General features: G+C 38.9%; 1 protein-coding gene and 1 pseudogene across 5 annotated transcripts in view, besides 1 other annotated feature; one reads left to right on the top strand and one right to left on the bottom strand.

Annotated features, from left to right (window-relative positions):
* Window positions 1-21,844, bottom strand: part of TMED8 (transmembrane p24 trafficking protein family member 8) — a 42,074-nt gene that overhangs the window by 18,331 nt on the left and 1,899 nt on the right. For 2 of the 5 annotated variants that reach the window (NM_001346134.1, XM_017021224.2), the window contains exon 1: window positions 20,340-20,558. The exons of the other annotated variants lie outside the window; for them this stretch is intronic. The gene's annotated coding sequence lies outside the window, so the exon portion shown is untranslated. Of the gene's footprint in view, window positions 1-20,339; window positions 20,559-21,844 lie in introns of those variants that run through there. 5 annotated transcript variants of the gene reach the window in all.
* On the top strand, window positions 6,065-6,648 carry LOC100422225 (ATP binding cassette subfamily G member 2 (JR blood group) pseudogene; annotated as a pseudogene).
* Window positions 19,106-19,155: a silencer, noted in NCBI's record as "silent region_5971". NCBI's record gives its function as "represses an Ori minimal core promoter by ATAC-STARR-seq in GM12878 lymphoblastoid cells {active_cell/tissue: GM12878}" and the evidence as "EXISTENCE:reporter gene assay evidence [ECO:0000049][PMID:35858748]".

Raw genomic sequence — 21,844 nt, forward strand, 5'->3', positions numbered from 1 at the left:
AAAATGACAGGCAAAATTTTTAATCCAAGCTTAATTTAGTCTCATGTTTTATATGTGAACAAGATCTATTTTTCTTTTCTTTTCTTTGTTTTTTTTTTTTTTTTGGAGGGGGACAGGGTCTCCCTCTATCACCCAGGCTGGAGTGCAGTGACACAATTATGACTCTCGGCCTCTTGGCAACCTCAACCTTCCAGGTTCAAGCGATCCTCTCACCTCAGCCTCCTGAGTAGCTGGGACCACAGGCACACCCCACCATGCCAGACTGATTTTTTTCTTTTTTTTTTTGTAGAGATGGGGGTCTCACTATGTTGCCCAGGAAGGCTTGTCTTGAATTCCTGGGCTCAAGTGATCCTCCCACCTCAGCCTCCCAAAGTGCTGAGATTACAGGCGTGAGCCACTGTGCCCATCCAAGATCTATTTTTCTTTGGGTCAATTCAGTCTCACAGGCAGAAAGACCTTAGAGCTCCTGCCATCTAATTTTTCTCCCAACAAAGAAACACTGTTCCCCAGTCTCTGCCACTCTGTAAAGAGGCCCATTCACTGAGGGAAAATGCAAAGAGAAAGTTCTCCCCTCTGTTGACCTAAGTGAAGTGTGCTTTCTAATAAATTCTACTCTTTGACCACTACTCCCGACAATATCCTTTCCCATATTGACAGCTGGCTGTCACATTTCCACAAGTTCCTTCTCCTCAGGCTGGTCATCTTCACACTATATAGCCTGTGACCATGCTGGCTCCCTTTAGCCGCTCCACTTAGTTTGTTCCATTTAAAGAAAGGAGCCAAAATGAACAACTTTTCCAGGTGTGTTCCAATCCGTGCAGACTACACTGACAATAACCTCTTAAAAAGGACACAATATTTCTTGACATAATACCTTAACCAGGCACTAGATTTCTTAACTGCAAACTTACTGTTGGCCTAAATAAGTCAATCAAGATCTCCAGGGCTTATAAAAATAAACTTTTTCTAAGCCCACTCTCTCCTATGCTCTATTTTTAAAATAGACTTTTGGAAAATAATTGATTTTTTAACTTAAAACCAGGACTTTATATACCCTATTACTTATTTCAAATTAACTTTTTGAAATTATACTAATAATGCTTTGTTCATTGTAGAAAAAAGTACAGATAAGAAAACATTTTGCATCTACCCTTCCAGACTTTATTTCCTTTAAAATAATTTTTAATATACAGATAATCCATTGTTCACTGTAAAAAAAATAAATCAGGAAATACAGATAAGCAAAACAACAACAAACTAACCGTAACCCCACTAACCAAAGATTACCACTGTTAACTTTTTAAAAAAAGACACAAGGTTGGCTGGGTGCAGTGGCTCATGCCTGTAATCCCAGCACTTTGGGAGGCCGAGGAAGGTGGATCACCTGAGGTCAGGAGTTCAAGACCAGCCCGGCCAACACGGCAAAACCCTGTCCTACTAGAAAATACCAAAATTAGGTAGGTGTGGTGGCGAGCACCTGTAATCCCAGCTACTTGGGAGGCTGAGGCAGGAGAATCACTTGAACCCTGGAGGAAGAGGTTGCAGTGAGGTAAGATTGCACCACTGTACTCCAGCCTGGGTGACGAAGGAAGAACTCTGTCTCAAAAAAAAAAAAAAGACAAGAGGTTTCTTTATGTTGCCCAAGCTAGTCTTGATCTCTTGGGCTCAAGCGGTCCTCCCACCTCCCCTTCCCAAAGTGCTGGGGTTACAGCACAGCATCTGGCCAACTGTTAACATTTTGATGTATATCCCTTGAGAAATACATTTATACATATATGCATACAAATACAAATGTATATGTATTGTGTGTGTGTGTGTGTGTTTCTGAAAGGACATGCACTAAACACTTTTTTTTTTTTTTTGAGACATAGTCTTGCTCTGTTGCCCAGGCTGGAGTGCAATGGCATGATCTCAGCTCACTGCAACCTCTGTCTCCGTGTTCAAGCGATTCTCCTGCCTCAGCCTCCTGAGTAGCTGGAATTACAGGCACACACCACCACACCCGGCTAATTTTTTGTATTTTTAGTAGAGATGGGTTTTCACCATGTTGTCCAAGCTGGTCTCAAACTCCTGACCTCAGGTGATCCACCCGCCTCGGCCTCCCAAAGTGCTGGGATTACAGGCGTGACCCACCATGGCCAATAAACACTTTTAATGAACATTTTTCAGAGTCAATAAAGATAGGGCTATATCATAATTTTAAACGGCTACATATTATCCCATACGTTGTCCCACCAATTCTTAACCTTCTACTGGTAGAGCTAGTGCTTATTCCAAATCTTTCATTGTTACAGGCAATGATGCTGTCTATAACAATTACAGATTGTTATAGACTGTTAGAGATAATGATGTTCTATTGGCATTATCTACAACATTTTCTTAAGAACCTCCCCCCTCAACAGCCTTGGAAGTGGCAGTTCCTATGATCAAGGTACATTGTGTTGGCCATAGTTCATTGGTTTCCGGTGAGCACCTGCCCAAAAGTCAGTCCGATTCTCTTCCGTAAAATCTGGAGTTGGTATCCAAGACGGAAACAGACTGTGGAGAACTTTGTCAGTTTAGGAGCTGAGCCTGCCTTTTGGGAGAAGCCTTCACAGGCCACATAAAAGCAGATGACTAAGCAGAGAAGATAATTTTCAGAAAGTACAATGATGCATTCAAGTAAAGGGAAAGAAAAACAAGGGGACCTCTGAGTCTAGGAGAGAAACAGACCAGAGAGGCTACTTTGTAACACCATGAGGTTCAAGTGTGCTCCTCCAACTGGAGTCTGTAAGAGGCCTTACATAGTAACAATGAGCTCTTTTTTTCTTTTTATTGTGAAATAAACCACACATATGAAAGATTGCATGAAAAGAAGATACAGAGCTAAAATATTAATAATACAAATACCTGCATACCTACTAACTAGGTGAATTATTAGTACTTTAGAATTCCCCTACCCAATGCCCTTTCCTATCCTATATTCCCTGTTCCAAATTCTGAGTAAATTATTCCTTGCTATTCTTTATATATTTTAACTAATTACTGCTGTTTAAAAACCTTTATTGTAGAAAATGTTAAACATATACAAAATCACAAAATTAGATCACAGTAGAATGAAGACTCATGCACCCTACCTATGTTTTCAACAAGATTTTACTTGGCCTGGTTTCCTCCATGCCCTACCTTCTTGCCCCACTCACCAACAGATTATTTCAAACAAAGCCCAGACATCATTGTATCTACCATTACATTCATTTAGAACAAATCTCTAAAGAAGAAGACTTTCAACACAGGTACAACAACATTATCACTCCTACAAAATTGGCAATTCCTCAATATCATCTCATACCCAGCCCATGTTCAAATTTCTCCAAGTTGTCTCCCAGAATTTCTTCTTAGGAGCTGGTTTGTTTGAATCAGAATCCAAATAAAGTTCACACACTAAATTTACCTTATAATCTCTTAATCTACATCAATCCTCACCACCATGGGTCTGTATACAATATATTTGTTGACATTTTAAAAAACTGATCTGCAGACTTTTCAAACATTCTGAATTTGGCTGACTGCCTTTTCACGGTATCACTTAACAGATTATTTTATGCACTATATTTCCTATAAACCGGTCATAGATGTAGAGCTTCACTGTCCAGTATAGTAATTACTAGTACACGTAGCTAAATTTAAATTTAAAAGAATTTAAAATTCGGTCCACCCATCTCAACTAGCCACATTTCAAGTACTCAATAGCCATGAGTTGCTAATGGCTACTGTTGCCAGGGAGCACATTTTCACCATCAAAGCAATTCTATTGGACTGTGTTGATCTAGAGGCTTGACTCAATTCAGGTTCAGTTTTGTTCTTGCAAGAATATTCCAGAAGTAACATATGTAATTCCTATTGTATTACATTAAGAGGCACATAATCTATGGTTATTACAAGTTTAATGATAAAAAGATTAGGTTCATGTTTTCAGCCTAATCCACCATCAAGCTCCTCATTAACCCTGCACCTAGTGGCTTTAGCAGGCATTCATGATCATTGTCTAAAATAGATACAGGATTTCATTAAAAACTAGAAAATGACTTTTCCAATTCTAGCACTTTCTACAGTTGTTCTTAGTTGGAATTCTACTAAAAACAAAATTTCCCCTCATCAACTATTTGGCTACTCTGACACAGTCATAAGAGAAAAGCAGGATAAAGACTTGATCCTTCACCAACTGACTTAGAATCATAACAACCTCCAAAGGTAACCAATGATTTGTTCTTTGAAGTATCGTTAGAAACACATGAATTTTAGCATATTTTATGTGCTTCAAGTTTTCCTAATTTTGGCCTGTGGGAGCTCCTCAAAGTTGGCTCTTGTGTCCTTTTAAGATGACACCACTGGTCTTGCTTATAGCATAAGTTCTGAGCTTTAAAATCTTATAAATGCCTGTCCCACACTTGGAATCAACTATTTCTCTAAGGAGTCCTGGTTCTTTTTCATTAGAAATTGTCTTTAAAGGCTGGGCATGGTAGCTCACACCTGTAATCCCAACACTTTGGGAGGCTGAGGCAGGTGGATCACCTGAGGTCAGGAGATGGAGACCAGCCTGGCCAACATGGTGAAACCCCATCTCTACTGAAAATACAAAAATTAGCTGGGCATGGTGGCACACATCTGTAATCCTAGGTACTTGGGAAGCTGAGGCATGAGAATCGCTGGAACCTAGGAGGCGGAGGTTGCAGTGAGCTGAGATCGTGCCAAGGCACTCCAGCCTGGGTGATGGAGTGAGGCTCTGTCTCCAAAAAAAAAAAAAAAAAAAAGAAATTGTATTTAAAGACCACAATCAATGTAATATATCACACACACACACACACACACACGAATATATATATATCCTAAATGTCATATATTAATATCACATATAAAAATATACATGTAAAATGAATTCATGCAAATACTTCTAATTCAGATTACAGGATTTTTCTTTTTTTTTTTGAGACGGAGTCTTGCTCTGTCGCCCAGGCTAGAGTGCAGTGGCGCAATCTCTGCTCACTGCAACCTCCACCTCCTGGGTTCAAGTAATTCTGCCTTAGCCTCCTGAGTAGCTAGGATTACAGGCACATGCCACCACGCCCAGCTAATTTTTGTATTTTTAGTAGAGACAGGGTTTCACCATGTTGGTCAGGCTGGTCTCAAACTCCTGACCTCGTGATCTGCCCGCCTCAGCCTCCCAAAGTCCTGGGATTACAGGCGTGAGCCACCACGCCTAGCCCAGATTACAAGATTTTTAACCTAACTTTAATTCTATATTTGTATTTTTCGGTCTTGTTGTGGAAAATCCTGGATCTTAATAATATTCACATATATACATATTTGCTTTCTTCTACAATGTAAATATAATAGTTTTAAACGAATAACAGTATAACTAAGGATATGGATATTATAACATTCTTCTCCTTAGCTTTTAACCTTCCATTATTTGTTTTTGAAAACATAAGGAAATACATATACATATAGTTGTATGTTGCCCCCATCTTAGAAAAAAATACACATTCTTCTTCTGCAACTTTTTTTTGTTTGTTTGTTTGTTTGTTTGTTTTTGAGACAGGGTCTTGCTGTGTGACCCAGGCTGGAGTACAGTGGTGCGATCACAGCTCAATGCAGTCTCAACCTCCCTGGCTTAAGCGATTCTCCTGCCTCAGGCTCCCAAGTAGCTGGAACCACAGTCCCATGCCACCACACCTGGCTAATTTTTTAAATTTTCTGTAGAGATGGGGTTTTGCCATGTAGCCCAGGCTGATCTCAAAACTCCTGAGCTCAAGCAATATGCCCACCCCGGACTCCCAAAGTGCTAGGATTACAGGCATGAGCCACTGCGCCCAGCTACAACTTGTTTTTATCACTTAACAACACAGCCTAGAAGAGCTTTCAAGTTGGTGAATTTATCCACATTCAGTGGTGCAACCCAACTCCATGCAGACGGAAGCTCCTGCACTCAGGACCCTTCCAGGCCTCGCCCTATTTACCTCTTCATCTGGCTGTTTATCCTTTATAATAAACACTGGTTTATTATATAAAAACAGGCAGAAATTCTCCAGATGTCTCCCAGTAATGTCCAAGTTTTTATCCCAGTGTCACAAAGAAATACCAATGATGAAACAACATGACCTACCCAGGACAACCTACAACGACCTGAAGACATTTACTGGGGAGCTGTGTTGTTTTCATAATATCTGCTATCGAGTAAAACTGAAGAGTGGCTTTCTACTTGATCAAAAAACAGTTTAAAAAGAAATATTAATGAATATCAAAGGAGTAATGAAACCTGGCCTCAACGCCATTCTGGTACACACAGGTGGAGGCAAACCATGGTTGTTAGATGTCTGAGCTGCAAAGAAAAGATCCACATGATTATCTGGAGATGTTTTGATAAATGGAGTACCTCAATCTGCCAATTTCAAATGTAATTCACATTCTGTGGTACAGGATGATATCATCATGGGCACTCTGACAGTGAGAAAAAATTTACAGTTCTCAGCAGCTCTTTGGCTTTCAACAACTATGACAAATAATAGAAAAAAAAATTGAATGAATTAACATGGTCATTCAAGAGTTAGGTCCAGAAAAAGTGGCATTCCAAGATTGGAACTCCATTCATGGTGTGTCTGGAAAAGATTACACAGATCTTCCTCATTACTTTAAATTTTTAAATTGTATATGTTTAAGGTGTACAACATAATGTTTTGATATACATATAGATGGTGAAATGGTTACCATATCAAGCAAATCAACAAATCCATCATCCCACAGCTATCCTCTCTTTTTGTGATGTTGAACATCTTTTTATATACCTGTTGGCCATTGTATGTGGCAAAAGCACCTAAAATTTCCTTTTAGTAAAATTCCCAAGCAAAATATTATTAACCATAGTTCTCATATTGTACATTAGATCTCTAGACTTGTTCATCCTATGTATCTCTACTTTGTATCCTTTGACCTACACCTCCCCCTTTCCTCTACCATCACCACCACCACCACCACCTCTAGTAACCACTATTTTATCCTGTTTCTGTGTACTTGACTTTTTTTTTTTTAGATTACATATATAAGAGAGATCGAGCAGTATTTTTCTTTTTGTGTCTGGCTTATTTTACTTAATATAATGTCATCCAGGCTCATCCATGTGTGGTAAATGGCAAGATCTCCTTCTTTTATAAGGCTAAATAATATTCCTCTGTGTGTATGTATGCACACCACAGCTTCTTTATTCATTTGTCTGTCAACGGACACATAGATTGTTTTCATATCTTGGCTATTGTGAATAATGCGACAATGAACAGGTATCTGAGGCGGTGATTTCACTTCCTTTGGGTATATATTCAGAATGGGGGTTACTGGGTCATGTGGTAGTTCTACTTTTATTTAGGAATTTCCATACTATTTTTCACAATGGCTGCATCATCTACATTTGTACCAACAGTTGTTATCTCTTACCAAAGAGAAGTCATCCTAACAGGCATGAGGTGATATATCTCATTGTGGTTTTAATTTGCATTTCCCTTGTGACTACTGATGTTGAACATCTTTTCATGTACCTGTTGGCCATTTTTACGTCTTCTTTGGAAAAACACCCATTCAGATCCTTTGCCTTTTTTTTTTTTTTTTTTTTTCAGACAGAGTCTCACTCTGTCACCCAGGCTGGAGTGCAGTGACACAATCTCGGCTCACTGCAACAACCTCTGTCTCCCAGGTTCAAGTGATTCTCCTGCCTCAGGCTCCCAGGTAGCTGGGATTACAGGTGCATGCCACCATGCCCAGCTAATTTTTTTGTATTTTCAGTAGAGACAGGGTTTCACCATGTTGACCAGGCTGGTCTCAAACTTCTGACTTCAAGTGATCTGCCCACCTTGGCCTCCCAAAGTGCTGGGATTACAGGCATGAGCCACCACGCCCGGCCCATTTCCATTCTTTTGCATGTGGAAATCCAGTTTTCCCAGAACCATTTATTGAAGAGACTATCTTTTCCCCACTGTGTCCTCTTAGTGCCTTTGTCAAAAATTAGTTGGTCATATATGCTTGGGTTTGTTTCTAGGCTCTCAATTCTGATCTGCTGTTTTTATACTAGCACCATACTGTTTTAATTACTATAGCTTTTAATAGAATTTGAAATCAGAAAGTGTGATGCCTCAATGTTTTCTTTCTTAGGATTGCTTGTATATTCAGGGTATTTGTGGTTACATACAAATTTTAGAATTGTTTTTTCTACTTCTGTGAAGAATGTCATTAGAATTTGGATTGGGATTGTGTTAAATCTGCATATTGTTTTGGGTAGTATGAACATTTGAACAATATTAATTTTTCCAAATCATGAACACAGGATAGATCTTCCCATATGTTTGTGTCTTCTTAATTTCTTTCATCAGTGTTTTATAGTCTTAAGTGTCCAGATCTTTCTGGTTAAGTTTATTCATAAGTATTTTTTTTCTTGAGACAGGGTCTCTGTAAGCCATGCTGGAGTGCAGTGGCACAATCACAGCTCACTGCAGCCTCGACCTCCATGGCTCAAGCAATCCTCCCACCTCAGCCTCCCGAGTAGCTGACACAACAGGCATGGGCTACCACGCTAGGCTAATTTATTAAGTATTCTTTATGCTACTGTAAATTGGGATTATTTTCTTGATTTTTTGGATAGGTTGTTACTGTGTACAGAAATGCAACTGATTTTTGTGCACTGATTTTTTATCCTGCAACTTTATTGATATCATTTATTAATTCTAAGTTTTTTTTGTAGAGTTTTTGGGGTTATTTACATATAAGATCATGTCATCTGCAAATGGACATAACTTCTACCATTCAGCTAATTGTATGCCTTTTTTTTTTCTTGTCTGCTTGCTCTTGCTAGCACTTCCATTACTATGTTGAATAGAAGTGATGAGAGTGGTCATCCTTGCCTTGTGCCAGATCATAGAGAAAAAGTTTTCATTTTTCCACACTGATTATGACACTGGCTTTGGGTTTTTCATAAGCAGTCTTTATTACGTTGAGTAAATTTCTTTCTACATCTAAAGTTGTTGCCAGTTTAAAATAAGCTATTCTAACTACAATTTATTCTACATAAGCCTCATGGTAACCACAAAGCAAAAAACCACCCCAGATAAACAAATAATAAAGAGAAAGGAATCAAAGCTCAGCATTATAGAAAATCACCAAATCACAAAGGAAAACAAGAGTAAGAAAGGAACAAGGGCTCTACAAAACAACCAGAAAACAATTAACAAAATAGCAGAAGTAAGTCCTTCCCTATCAATAATAAGCTTGAATGTAAATGGATTAAGTTCTCCAATTAGAAGACACCGAGTGGGTGAATGGATTAAAAAAAACTAAGATCCAACCTATATGCTGCCCACAAGAGACTCATTTTAGCTTTAAGAACACATACAGGCTGAAAGTGGAAGAATTGAAAAAGATATTCCATGTAAACAGTAACCAAGAAAGAGCAGAGGTGGCTGTACTTAGACAAAATAAAGTCTAAAAACTGTCACACGAAACAAAGAAGGCCATTATTTGATGATAAATGGGTCAAGCCATCAAGAGGACATAACAATTATAAATACATATGCACTCAACATCAGAGCACCTAAAGGTATAAACCAAATTTTAATAGACATGAAGGGGGAAAATAGATAGCAATATAAGAATAGTAGGGGACCTCAATATCCCATTTTCAACAATGGATACATCAACTAGACAGAAAAGTAATAAGGAAATACTAGGCTTGAACTACACTTAGGACCAAATGGGCCCAATTTTCCATACAACAGTAGCAGAATACACATTCTTCTCCATTGCATATGTAACATTCTCCAGAATAGATCAGATGTTAGGCCACAAAACAAGTCTTAACAAATTTATAACTGAAATCATAACAAGTATTATTTCCAACCACAATGGTAAAAAAACTAGAAATCAGTAACAGAGGGAATTCAGGGAAAAATCACAAAGATGTGGAAATTAAACAACCTGCTCCTGAACAACCAATAGATTGGTTGAGAAGAAATCAAAAGAGAAACGTATCTTGAGACAAAAGAGAATGGAAATATAACATACTAAAACCTAGGGGATGCAACGAAAGCAAAAGCAGTTCTAAGAAGAATGTTGATAGCAATAAATTCTTACATTAAAAAAGAAGAGGCCAGGCATGGTGGCTCAGGCCTGTAATCCCAGTACTTTGGGAAGCTGAGACAGGAGGATCACTTGAGTTCCAGGCTGCAGTGAGCCATAATCATGCCACTGCACTCCAGCCTGGGTGACAGAGTCAGACCCAGTCTCTAAAATAATAATCATAATAATAGTATCTCAAATAAATAGCCTAACATTATTCCTCTTTTTTTTTTTTAATGTTGCCTAGGCTGTACTCAAACTCCTGGGCTCAAGCATTCCTCCTGCCTCAGTCTCCTGAGTTGCTAGGATTTAGGTGCATGCCACCACAGCTGGCTCATTACTTTTTAAACTGGCATACTTGACTGTGTGGATGTACACCATACTCATGTCCCTACCAATAGACATCAGGGTTATTTCCAGTCTATTAATATTGCAAACTGTGCTACAATGCCTTGTGCATATTTCATATTTTTGCTAGTGTATCTTTGGGATAGATTCCTGAGAGTGGAATTTCTGAACCAAATTCTCCACAAGGATCATCTATTTTACATTCACTGCATCAATATATGAGTGCCCGTTTCCCCACACCTGGCACATCAGAGTACATTGTCAAACTGTTAGAAAATTGGCAGAACTTGATATGTGAAGAATAGTATATTAATTTTAATTTGCACTTCTCTTATCTTTTAATGCATTAGACCACTTTCTTTTTTTTCTTCTTCTTCTTCTTTTTGAGACAGGATCTTGCTCTATCACCCAGGCTGGAGTGTAGTGTTGTGATCACAGCTCACTGCAGCCTTGACCTCTAGGGCTCAAGTGTAGTTTTGCAATCACAGCTCACTGCAGCCTTAACCTCTCGAGTAGCTCCTAGCTACTCAGGAGGCTGAGGCTAGGACCACAGGTATGCATCACCACATCTGGCTAATTTTTAAATTTTTCTGTAGAGATGGGGTTTCCCTATGACGCCCAGGCTGGTCTCAAACTCCTAGGCTCAAGCAATCCTCCCACACGGGCCATCCATAGTGTTAGGATTACAGGCATGAGCCATGATATTTTTTTTAAGATGGAGTCTCACTGTGTTGCCCAGGCTGGAGTCTGGTGGCATAATCAGAGCTCACTGCAGCCTCAAACTCTTGGGCTCAAGTGATCCTCCTGCCTCAGCCTCCCAAGTAGCTGAGAATACAGGCACCCTCACCACCCCCAGCTTGCATTTTGTTATTTAAGCCTTTTTTTACTTCATTTCTATAGGACAAGTCCCCAGAACTGAAAAACCTTGTCAAGGTCTACACATTAACACTTTTATACACATTGCCCAATTTCTCTCCAAAATTCACTTCTACTAGGAGTGGATATCCGAGTGTAACCATTTCCCCACATTCTCACTAACACTAGATATAATCATTCCTTATAACTGCTGCCATTCTATAGATAGAACACGATGAAACACTACTGTTTTAATTTGTCATCCTTTAAGAGCTCATATGGCTGAAACAAGCTCTTTTATGCATAAAAATCAGTTGCCTTTTTTGTTGTTTAATAAGGGAATTCTGACCACACATACTACTTAACCTACCTCTTCCACTCAACAATGATATTTATCCATTTAAAGCAGCCCACTGAATCTCCTTCAGATATCACTCAGCCAAATATTTTGCCAAAATCAAAATATACTGTATATACAGCAACCACATGAAAAAGGGAAATTTGAGTTAATGACTTTGCCTAAATTCAACAGAACTTTACTGGACCCCTGCTATATGTCAGGCAGTATATTCCATGTAGGGAATATACAGTTAAATTAGACATGATTTGTGCCCTCAAGGAACTCAGCCTAGTGAGGAAGATAAACTCATAAACAGACAGTTGTAATATAAGTGTGGTATCCTTTAGGATAGAATTATGCACTAGATGTCACAGATACACATATAGTTAACTAATTTAGGGAATAAAAGTATCAAAGGTTTCCTGAAAGAGATGACAATTGCACTGAATTCAAAAATGACCAGGACTTGGCCAAGTCAAGTGGAAAAGGGCACTGCAGGCAAAGGAGGCTGAATGAACAAAACCAAGAACACAAAAAAATACCACCGTGGCAGCTCAGTGTGGCTGGAGGCCACTGCACCAATGCAGAGAGATGAGCTGAGAGCCACAGGTCCCAGTGATTTAACTTGATACTTAACCAAATTCCTAGTAAGTGCCTGGCCACATCCTAGGTACTGGAGAGAATATCCAAAGCAGACACAGTTCTGGCTCTCATGATGCTTTCAATCTAGCAGGAAAAAGTGTGTGAAGGTCCTTTGTCCCAAAGGTGATGAATAATTTTAAGCTAGTAAATGACATGGTCAAACCTGTATTTTTTTGGTACAATTCTATGGCAGCCATAGGTAGGATGGATTTTACGAGATCAGATAGGAGGCCTCTGCAGAAGTCCATGAGAGAGAGAAAGGACCTAACTAGTAATGAAAGACTAGAAAGGCTATAATTAGAAAATAATTAGATAGTCAAATGTGTTTTTAGTTCGCCCATGCTGGCTCCTAGCAACACTTATTTTCTTTACATTCAAATGACATATTCTACTGAAAATCTGGATCAAGTTTAATGGTCTCCAAATTCTGGATTATACTCTTTCCCTTCAGGATAACTAGGTATGTCCATTTCTAGTCCCCGACATCCCTCAAAGATGGTGCACAAGTATATTTGCAAGTTATTTCAGGACCCCAGACGTAGAAGTCATCTGTCAATCTTCTGGCTTTCAAAAATACTCAACCTTTTCCTCCTTGGGGAGAACTGTCACTGACAATAGTACTCAGTGGAAGTCAAAATGGAAGATCCTTCTCTTCGCAGTACCAGGAAGTCAGGGAACAAGCACATAATCTAAAATATTCCCACCTGGAAAAGGTGAAACAGGAGTGGGACAAATGAGAGACAGAATTCATCTAGTGGCAGCCAAACAGCCAAGTTGTTCTTGCTGCTTAGCCTCTGGAGTCCTCCAGCCTTCTAACAATTTAGTGAGCCTCCTTTTTCCTTCTAATAAATCCTCTTTCTGCTTAAGACAGCCAGAATTAACTTATATGGCTTGTAAAAAGAACTCTGACAAAAATTCCTGGATAGAATTTCACTGGGTCCAGAAATCTGAACTTAATTAAAGTACCTAGCTATTCTACCTTTATTCTGATCATCTTTGTTATTATAACCAAGACTCAGTGGTCACTTACTATATGTCAATTATTTTCTAAGTTTTTTGTAGGCATCACCATATTGAATAGTCACTGAATTGCACTGAATTATAGAACCACTGAAGTTGATGCTATCATTACTCCCTTTCTATAGTTTAAGAAATTGAAGCTCGGAGAAATCATGATGCCCAAGATGACCAGCAAATACGAATAGAAGTGATATGCACTCAGGCAATCCAAGATCAAAGTCAGCATTCTTACTAACTACATTATACACTGACTCTTTTAAAAACCTTTTCTAGGCTGGGCGCAGTGGCTTATACCTGTAACTCCAGCACTTTGGGAGCCCGAGGCAGGCAGATGGCTTGAGGTCAGGAGTTCCAGAGCAGCCTGGCCAACATGGTAAAACCCCGCCTCTACTAAAAATACAAAATTAGCCAGGCATGGTGGTGTGTGTCTAATCCCAGCTACTTGGGAGGCTGGGGCAGGAGAATCGCTTGAACCTGGGAGGCAGAGGTTGCAGTGAGCCGAGATCACACCACTGCACTCCAGCCTGGGTGACAGAGCAAGACTCTGTCTAAAAAAAAAAAAAAAAAAAAAAAAAAACTTTTTAAATCTTTTCTATTGTGAAATATAACGCAAATGTAGAAGAGTACACAAAAGTGTATACCTCAATAAATTATCACAAACACCACCCAGGCCAAGAAATAGAACACTTCTAACACTCCAGAAGCACCACTCATGACCTTCCCAATCATTACCTGATCCTTTCCTCCTTAAGGTAAGAAAACCACTATCCCAACTATGGACATTATTTCCTTGCTTTCTTTATAGCTGGGCCACCTAAGTAAGCATTCCTAAACACTGTTGCTTCACTGGGCCTGTTTTCTGAATTCCATATAAAGGAAAATGAAAAAGAATGTTTTCTTTTGGGTCTTGCTTATTTCAGTCATTATTTTGATTGATGCATCCATCAAAATCTGCATCAAAAAATGCACCCATGTAATTGTAGGTAGGTTTGTTAACTTTCTTTCTTTTTTTTTTTTTCTGAGACAGAATCTCACTCTTGTTGCCCAGGCTGGAGTGCAATGGTGCAATCTCGGCTCACTGCAACCTCCACCTCCTCGCTTCAAGCGATTCTCCTGCCTCAGCCTCCTGAGCAGCTGGGACTACAGGCGCCCACCACCACGCCCAACTAATTTTTGTATTTTTAGTAGAGACGGGGTTTCACCATGTTGGCCAGGTTGGTCTCAAAATCCTGAGCTCAGGTGATCCGCCTTCCTCAGCCTCCCAGAGTACTGGGATTACAGGCATGGGCCACCGCACCCAGCCAGTTTGTTCACTGTCATTGCTGTACGTTATTCCATGAATCCACCATGAGCTATCTATCTATTGTTGATGATACTTAGGTTAACTCCAGTTTGGGGCTATTATGAATAATGCTGCTATGAATATTCTTGTGTCTTGGCTACAGTGCATACATTTATGTTGGATATAAATGTCAGAATGGAAACGGTTAAGTCATAGAAATTTGAATGTTAAATTTCAGTAGATAATGCCGAACTATTTTCTAAAGGGGTTGTACCAAATATAATGCTACCAGCATTGTAGCATCATTTCATTACTCTGGACCTTCTCTGACACTTGGTCATGTTAAAATTTTTTTGGGGGGCCATTCTGGTAGATGTATGCTAATTTAGTTTGTATTTCACCAATGACTCGTATTTCTTGGCCATTTAAAAATCTTCTTTTGTGAAGTGCCTCTCCAAGTCTCTTGCCAATTTTATTACTGGATTGTCCTTTTTATTATTTATTTATTTATTTATTTATTTTTGAGACGGAGTCTCACTCTGTCACCCAAGTTGGAGTGCAGTGGCATGGTCTCGGCTCACTGCAACCTCCGCCTCCTGGGTTCAAGAGATTCTTCGGCCTCAGCCTCCCTAGTAGCTGGGACTACAGGCACGTGCCACCACACCCAGCTAATTTTTGTATTTTAGTAGAGACAGGGTTTCACCATATTGGCCAGGCTGTTCTCGAACTCCTGACCTCATGATCCGCCCACCTTGGCCTCCCAAAGTGCTGGGATTACAGGCATGAGCCACCAAGCCCAGTCCCTTTTTATTATTTATAGGAGTTTTAGATACAAACCTTTTGTCAGGTATATGTATTATAATTACCTGCTTCCACTCTGTGACATGACTTTTCCCATTTAATGGTGGCCTTTGATGAACCAAAGTACTTTTGTGTACTCAAAATTTATCAAATTTGCCTTCCTTAGTCTTTGTATGTCCTGTCTAAGATGTCTTTCACTATATTGAGATCCGAAAATATTCTCCCATATCCTATAGGTAGGTGCTTATGTACTACCTTTCACATACTGTTCTATAATCTACCGAGTTGATTTTTTGTGTATGATGTGTGAGGTAAAGATTACGTTTCTTTACTTTCCTTTCTCTTAGAATATTCAATTGTCCCAGAAACATTTACCTTACCTTACCCACTGCTCTATGTTAACAATCTTTGTTGCAAAGCAAGTGTCCGTATAAACATGTTTCTAAGCTTTTGATTCTATTCCTAGAGCCTGACTACTCTTTAAAAACTTTAAAATAAGTCTTGATGTTGGATGGAACAAATCTTTCCCTGTTGTCTTATTCAAGAGTGTCTTTGCTATTTGTGGCCTTCTATTTCTATATGTATTTTAGAACCAGCTTGTCAAAGCCACCCAAAAATCCCAATTCATGAACTTAGCTGTTTCTGAAGCTGAGTTGCACTCCCTGCAATGACCTACTTTTAGGGCATGGCCTTTCATGGCCCTAACCCAAAGGAAATGGAGTTCACCAGGCTCCCCCTTGACGGGTCCTGAACACTAATCCATTTCCTGTTACTTTAGTTCAAAGAGGCACTTTTCATGACCTTGTCACTCAGCTTCCCCACTCAGGAATCCAGCATGTACCCTCAGGAGACAAAAGAGCCCCAAAATAGACTCTTGTCCTTGGATCTCTATAGCTCTCACATGGATCACAGCTAGGTAATTCTTCATGATCTTTCTATCTCTCCAGTATCTTCCAGCAGATGTTTATATTTCACCCATATTTTCTAATTGTCCCTGATGAGAGATAATTACCTAGTCTGCTATTACTGAAAACAGAAATCCATATTGCCTATTTACCCATATCAATCTGAATATACCTTAGTGAATAAAATAGAAACAAAAATAGTTCTGCCCTCTGCCAGGCACGGTGGCTCATGCCTGTAAGGGAGGCGGAGGCGGGAGGGCCGAGGCGGGCAGATCACAAGGTCAGGAGTTCGAGACCAACCTGGCCAGCATGGTGAAACCCCATCTCTACTAAAAATACAAAAATTAGCCGGGCGTGGTGGCACATGCCTGTAATCCCAGCTACTCGGGAGGCTGAGGCAGGAGAATCGCTTGAACCCAGAAGGCGGAGGTTGCAGTGAGCCGAGATCACACCACTGCACTCCAGTCAAGGCGACAGAGCGAGACTCCGTTTCAAAAAAAAAAAAAAAAAAAAAATTCTGCCCTCTCTCTGTCATTGATTAATAATATCAGTTTATCTACTATGTCTATCCCCCTTTGGCTTATCCTGTCCTTTGGATCGTAATGAAGACTTCAAAAAGGTTAAATTTTTAGACAGAAATGAAACTAGCACAAAAATAATGAAAGACAGTAGTGGATTTAAAGAATAACAAAATTAATCTCTAAGGAGACTTATAACCTTTTATAAAAAAATTCACTGAGAGAAAAAGGTCTAGAAAATGTCAGTTCCTGATGAGCAGAAACAGAATACAGACCTATAGAAAGGCTCTTATTTAGGATATAGACATAGTGAAGTCTCATGCCAAGTTTGTGTGTGTGTCTATCTATGTACACATATATTTATATATTTTAAAGACTATTTTTATTAACTATTTCTGAATAATTTATCCACATTATTCAAAATTCAAAAAGCATATAAGTATACAGTGAAAAATTTCCTCCCATGTCAGTCCCTACCTCCAAAAGCAATCAATGTTATTTGGTTTTGTGTAGTCTTCCAAAGATGTTTTATGCATATAAAAAAAAGTGTGTGTGTGTGTGTGTGTGTGTATACTTTTTCACTTTTTTACACAAAAAATGGGCATGCTTAGGCGTGGTGGTGCGTGCCTGTAATCCCAGCTACTTGAGAGGCTGATGCAGGAGAATCGCTTGAACCCGGGAGGCGGAGGTTGCAGTGAGCTAAGATCACGCCATTGCACTCCAGCCTGGGCAACAGTGCGAGACTCTGTCTCAGAAAAAAAAAAAGGTCGGGGGGAGCATGCTGGACATACTACTGTGTACTTTGTTCTTTCCACTTATATCTCAAAGACCTTTCCATAACTGCACATGAAAAGCTTCTTCATTCTTTTCTACAGCTGATTAGTATTTCATTGGGTGAATATTCCATAATGTATTACCATTACAAACAATGCCATAATAACCTTGTATCTATGTCATTAAACAGGAGAATAAATAAATCTATAATTCCTGGAAAGAATGAGTCAAAGGGGCATATATTGTAATTCTGATGGATATTGACAAGTTGCCCTCCACAGAATCTGTACCAATTTACAATCTCATTAGCAAAGCATGAGAGTGTCTGCTTCTGCACACCGACCAACAAAGTGAGTTAGCAAACTACCAAGTGTAGTTAGGATTTCCAATTCCCTTATTATGATTTAGGTTGAGCATTTTTCACATGGTAAGCACCACTTCTCATAGCATTTTAACAACTTAATGTATACTGGAAAAAAATATGCTTTTGATTTTTTTTCTTTCCATCCCATAAGGAGTTGAGCTTTTGATTTTTAACTTTAAAGGAATGCCCTAAATTATTTTTAATTTTAAAGAATGCCCTAAATTACATAAGAACTACTGGTAAAACAACTTATAATTGGATTCAGAGAGGCAGGAAGTAAGAAAAGGAGAAAGAAAAACATAACTTTATTTCCAGAAGTATAAAGTGTGGGAGATGCAGCGCTGTTTCAGTGAGAGAGAATTATGAGCACAGCCTTTTAGGTTTCCTGAAGTTCTTCAGTGAAATTTAAGCCACTATGCAGAAGAAAAAGCCAATTTTCCTATAGTATAGCTTTTATTATATTAGCCAAATATAAGCCAATTCTGAAAGTATTCCTAGAAGAGATCAGAGAAATCAGGCCAGACTTTGCAAATTTAGATGGTATGTGGGGAAATGTTTTTTATTTTTAAAAATATGTATTCTAGTATATATTAAGAAAAATGGATATATCAAACTAGTAATATCGTAGGTATTATTTAGAATGAAACTTTTAAGTGTCAATCAAAATGTCAATTAAATGTCAATGTCAAGAAAAAATAGTAAATAACTAATACTGTAACGGTATTCTCCAGTGTGGCAAAGTCATTACCATGGTTCCTCAGTGGCCGAAATCTCGGAAACAATGAACGGAGGAGGAAAAATGGAAGCTTAACAATAACTTAATTTATCATTGATGGCCACTAAAGCAAAGGTGAGAGAGAAAAAAGGAACTTCCTTAAAATAACTTATTTTATATTTGACAACTTTTTAAATGTGCATTTTCTTTCTACATTACCAAAGGGTCTGGTTTCAGACATTCTGATCATGCTAGGGATTCAAACTTACTGTGTACTTCGTACTTTCCCTACAAGGAGAACCAAAAAGCAGGTTTTTTTCAAAAGCATTTGAATATCAGGTCAGGGTTCTTTAGAACAGGCCTCAGAGGATTTCCCCCTCAGTAAACAGGCTGCAAAGAGATAATTAGCCTGTCATTTTAGATTCCAGTGCAGAAGAACTAAAAGCAGGCTATGTGGTTACAGACTCAAGAGGCTTAAACGAAAACAAATTAAGTGAGTTTATGTTCCAACCAAATCTAGTGACCATGTGATCCAATTTCTCTTCAGCCCTTGAGTGGGACATGCTCCTGAGAGGTCACTCAGATTGTGCACCTTTGGTTATACTGTTTAGACTGAATCACGACATGAATAATCAACTATCTGACTAATCGACTATCTGGACACTAAAAACACAACCACTGTAAGAAAAAGAAAGCCACAGGCAGACAAAATGTTAACATTTTGACATAAAACCACAATAGAAAACTAAAAAACATCAAGGCTGTTTGTCATTGACTCCCTATTATTCTTACCATTCAACATGGTAGCCACCAAATTTTGAATTTTAATTCATGCACATTGAAATAGCCACAGATATTATATATATATATATATATATATATATATATATATATATATATATATTTTTTTTTTTTTTTTTTTTTTTTTTTTTTTGAGACAGCGTCTCCCTCTGTCGCCCAGGCTGGAGTGCAGTGGTGCAATCTCGGCTCACTGCAACCTCTGCCTCCTGGGTTCAAGTGATTCTCCTGCCTCAGCCTCCTGAGTAGCTGGGACAGATATGAAATATTTTCATCACTGCAAAAAGACTTATTGTAATATTCTAACTTCTACCTTAGAACCATGAACAAGTTTACCTGACCTGTTTCCATCCTCAACATCTAAATGTATTGATAGCTCTGGGGGACATACACACCAAACTAAGTTCTACTGCTGACTTCAGGATCACAATAGAGTTTTATTTTCCTTTAAACTTAAAAAAAAAACAAAAACAAAAACAAAAAAACCTGCCTTTAAGTGATGCAACAAGTATGCCTCAGATAGTTTCATAATTAAAGAATGATTTATCTCTCCTCTGGGGAACTGAAGAACCCAGGTGCCTCAAATAAAAGACTATTAAAAACAATTACAATGCATAAAACAATAAGAACACCATGACCACTGGAGAGCTTAGTTCATAAGAACATAAATCCTTTCCTTCCTTTTCACCAAAACCTCAGCTAACAAACATGAAGACACTCAATAGGTATTCTCTGCAGAGAACACTTTTAAAAAACAAGTTATGGTTATTCTGGATAATGACACATTCCTGCTTTGAAGGAATAAGATACACCAAAAAACCAAAACCCTTAACTCAACAATACCTGATATGGCTTGGATGTTTGTTCCCTCCAAATCTCACGCTGAAATGTGATTTCCAATGTTAGAGGTGAGGTCTGGTGGGAGGTGACTGGATCGTGGAGATGAATCCCTCATGAATGATTTGGCATCATCCTCTTGATGATAAGTGAGTTCTCACTCAGTTAGTTCACCTGAGATATGGTTGTTTAAAAGAGTCTGGGACCTCCTCCCGTCTCTCTCTCTCTCACTCCCAACTCTCGCCATGTGACATACCTGCTCCCCCTTTCAGTATGATTCTAAGCTTCTTGAGGCCCTCACCAGAAACAGATACCAACACCACACTTCCTGTACACCCTGCAATACCATGAGCCAATTAAAACTCTTTTCTTATAAATTACTCAGTCTCAGGTATTCCAAATGGACTAACAGAACACCTGAATATCCAATTCCATTTCTTACTGCTGTTTTCTCTCTGAAAGGGTGAGAGAAATCTCATTAAATTTCATTCTTTCTTAGAGCTCTATTGCTTACTCATTGTATCATTTTCTAGAGGAAGATGGCAGAAGGATCCAATCAAACGAATTCCAAGTTTAAAGCAGTTTTTTGGGGTTTACGCCCAAGCCTCTGGTCCAGGCCAAATATAGTATTTCCACACTGCTTTGGAAGCCCAGCTTAACTCTAACACAGCGTTCCCAAAAGCAGCACCACTGACATCTGGAGCCAGATACCTCCTTGTTATGGGGATTGCCCTGTGCCTTGCAGGATGTTTAGCAAACATCCCTAGCCTATCCTCACTAGATGTCAGCAATAGCTGCCACCAGTTGTGACGAGCAAAAATGTTTCCAAACATTGCCATGCCCTGGGGATACAAAATCGTACCTGGTTGAAAACCATTGCTCTAACCCAAGGAACATTCTTGGTTATCTCAACCCTAATTCTTCACATTCATTAGATGCTCATCCAGATCTCTGCATTCAGACTTTCTCTCACCATCAAACTCAGCAAATATTTGCGAAACCTCTAAAACACAACATCAAGGGCTCTAGATAAATAAACAAGCAAGAGAGATTCCGTTCCTAACTCCAAGCAGGTTTCTTAGTAGATAAAGAATTGTAATAAAAGACGCCCAATTATATAATGTTTTGAATTGTTAATTGTTTCTCCCTGAAATGGATCTCTCATCTCATCAAACTGAAAACACCTTGAGGACAGAGACCATAACCTGTCTGCGAGTACCAATACTTGATTCATGGCCAATAAAAACAAACAATTATAGACTTCATCATAACAAGATGACAATTTCATCCAGACAGTAAAAACTTGCGCTAACTTGAACAGGTAAGTTAACCTTTCTCAGCTGTAGTTTGTTCCTCTGTAAAATGGGAAGAAAATGATTGTTGACATGACTAAATCAGAAAATATAAATTTTTTTCCACCTCTGGCACAGAATAAGCATTCAATATCTGTAGGTTATCATTACTATTATTTTATTAGCAACAAATCCTACCTCAAGAGGAAGAGCTTGCTC

Source organism: Homo sapiens, chromosome 14 (genome assembly GCF_000001405.40).
Source record: "Homo sapiens chromosome 14, GRCh38.p14 Primary Assembly".
In the NCBI taxonomy this organism is placed as follows: Eukaryota; Metazoa; Chordata; class Mammalia; order Primates; family Hominidae; genus Homo; species Homo sapiens.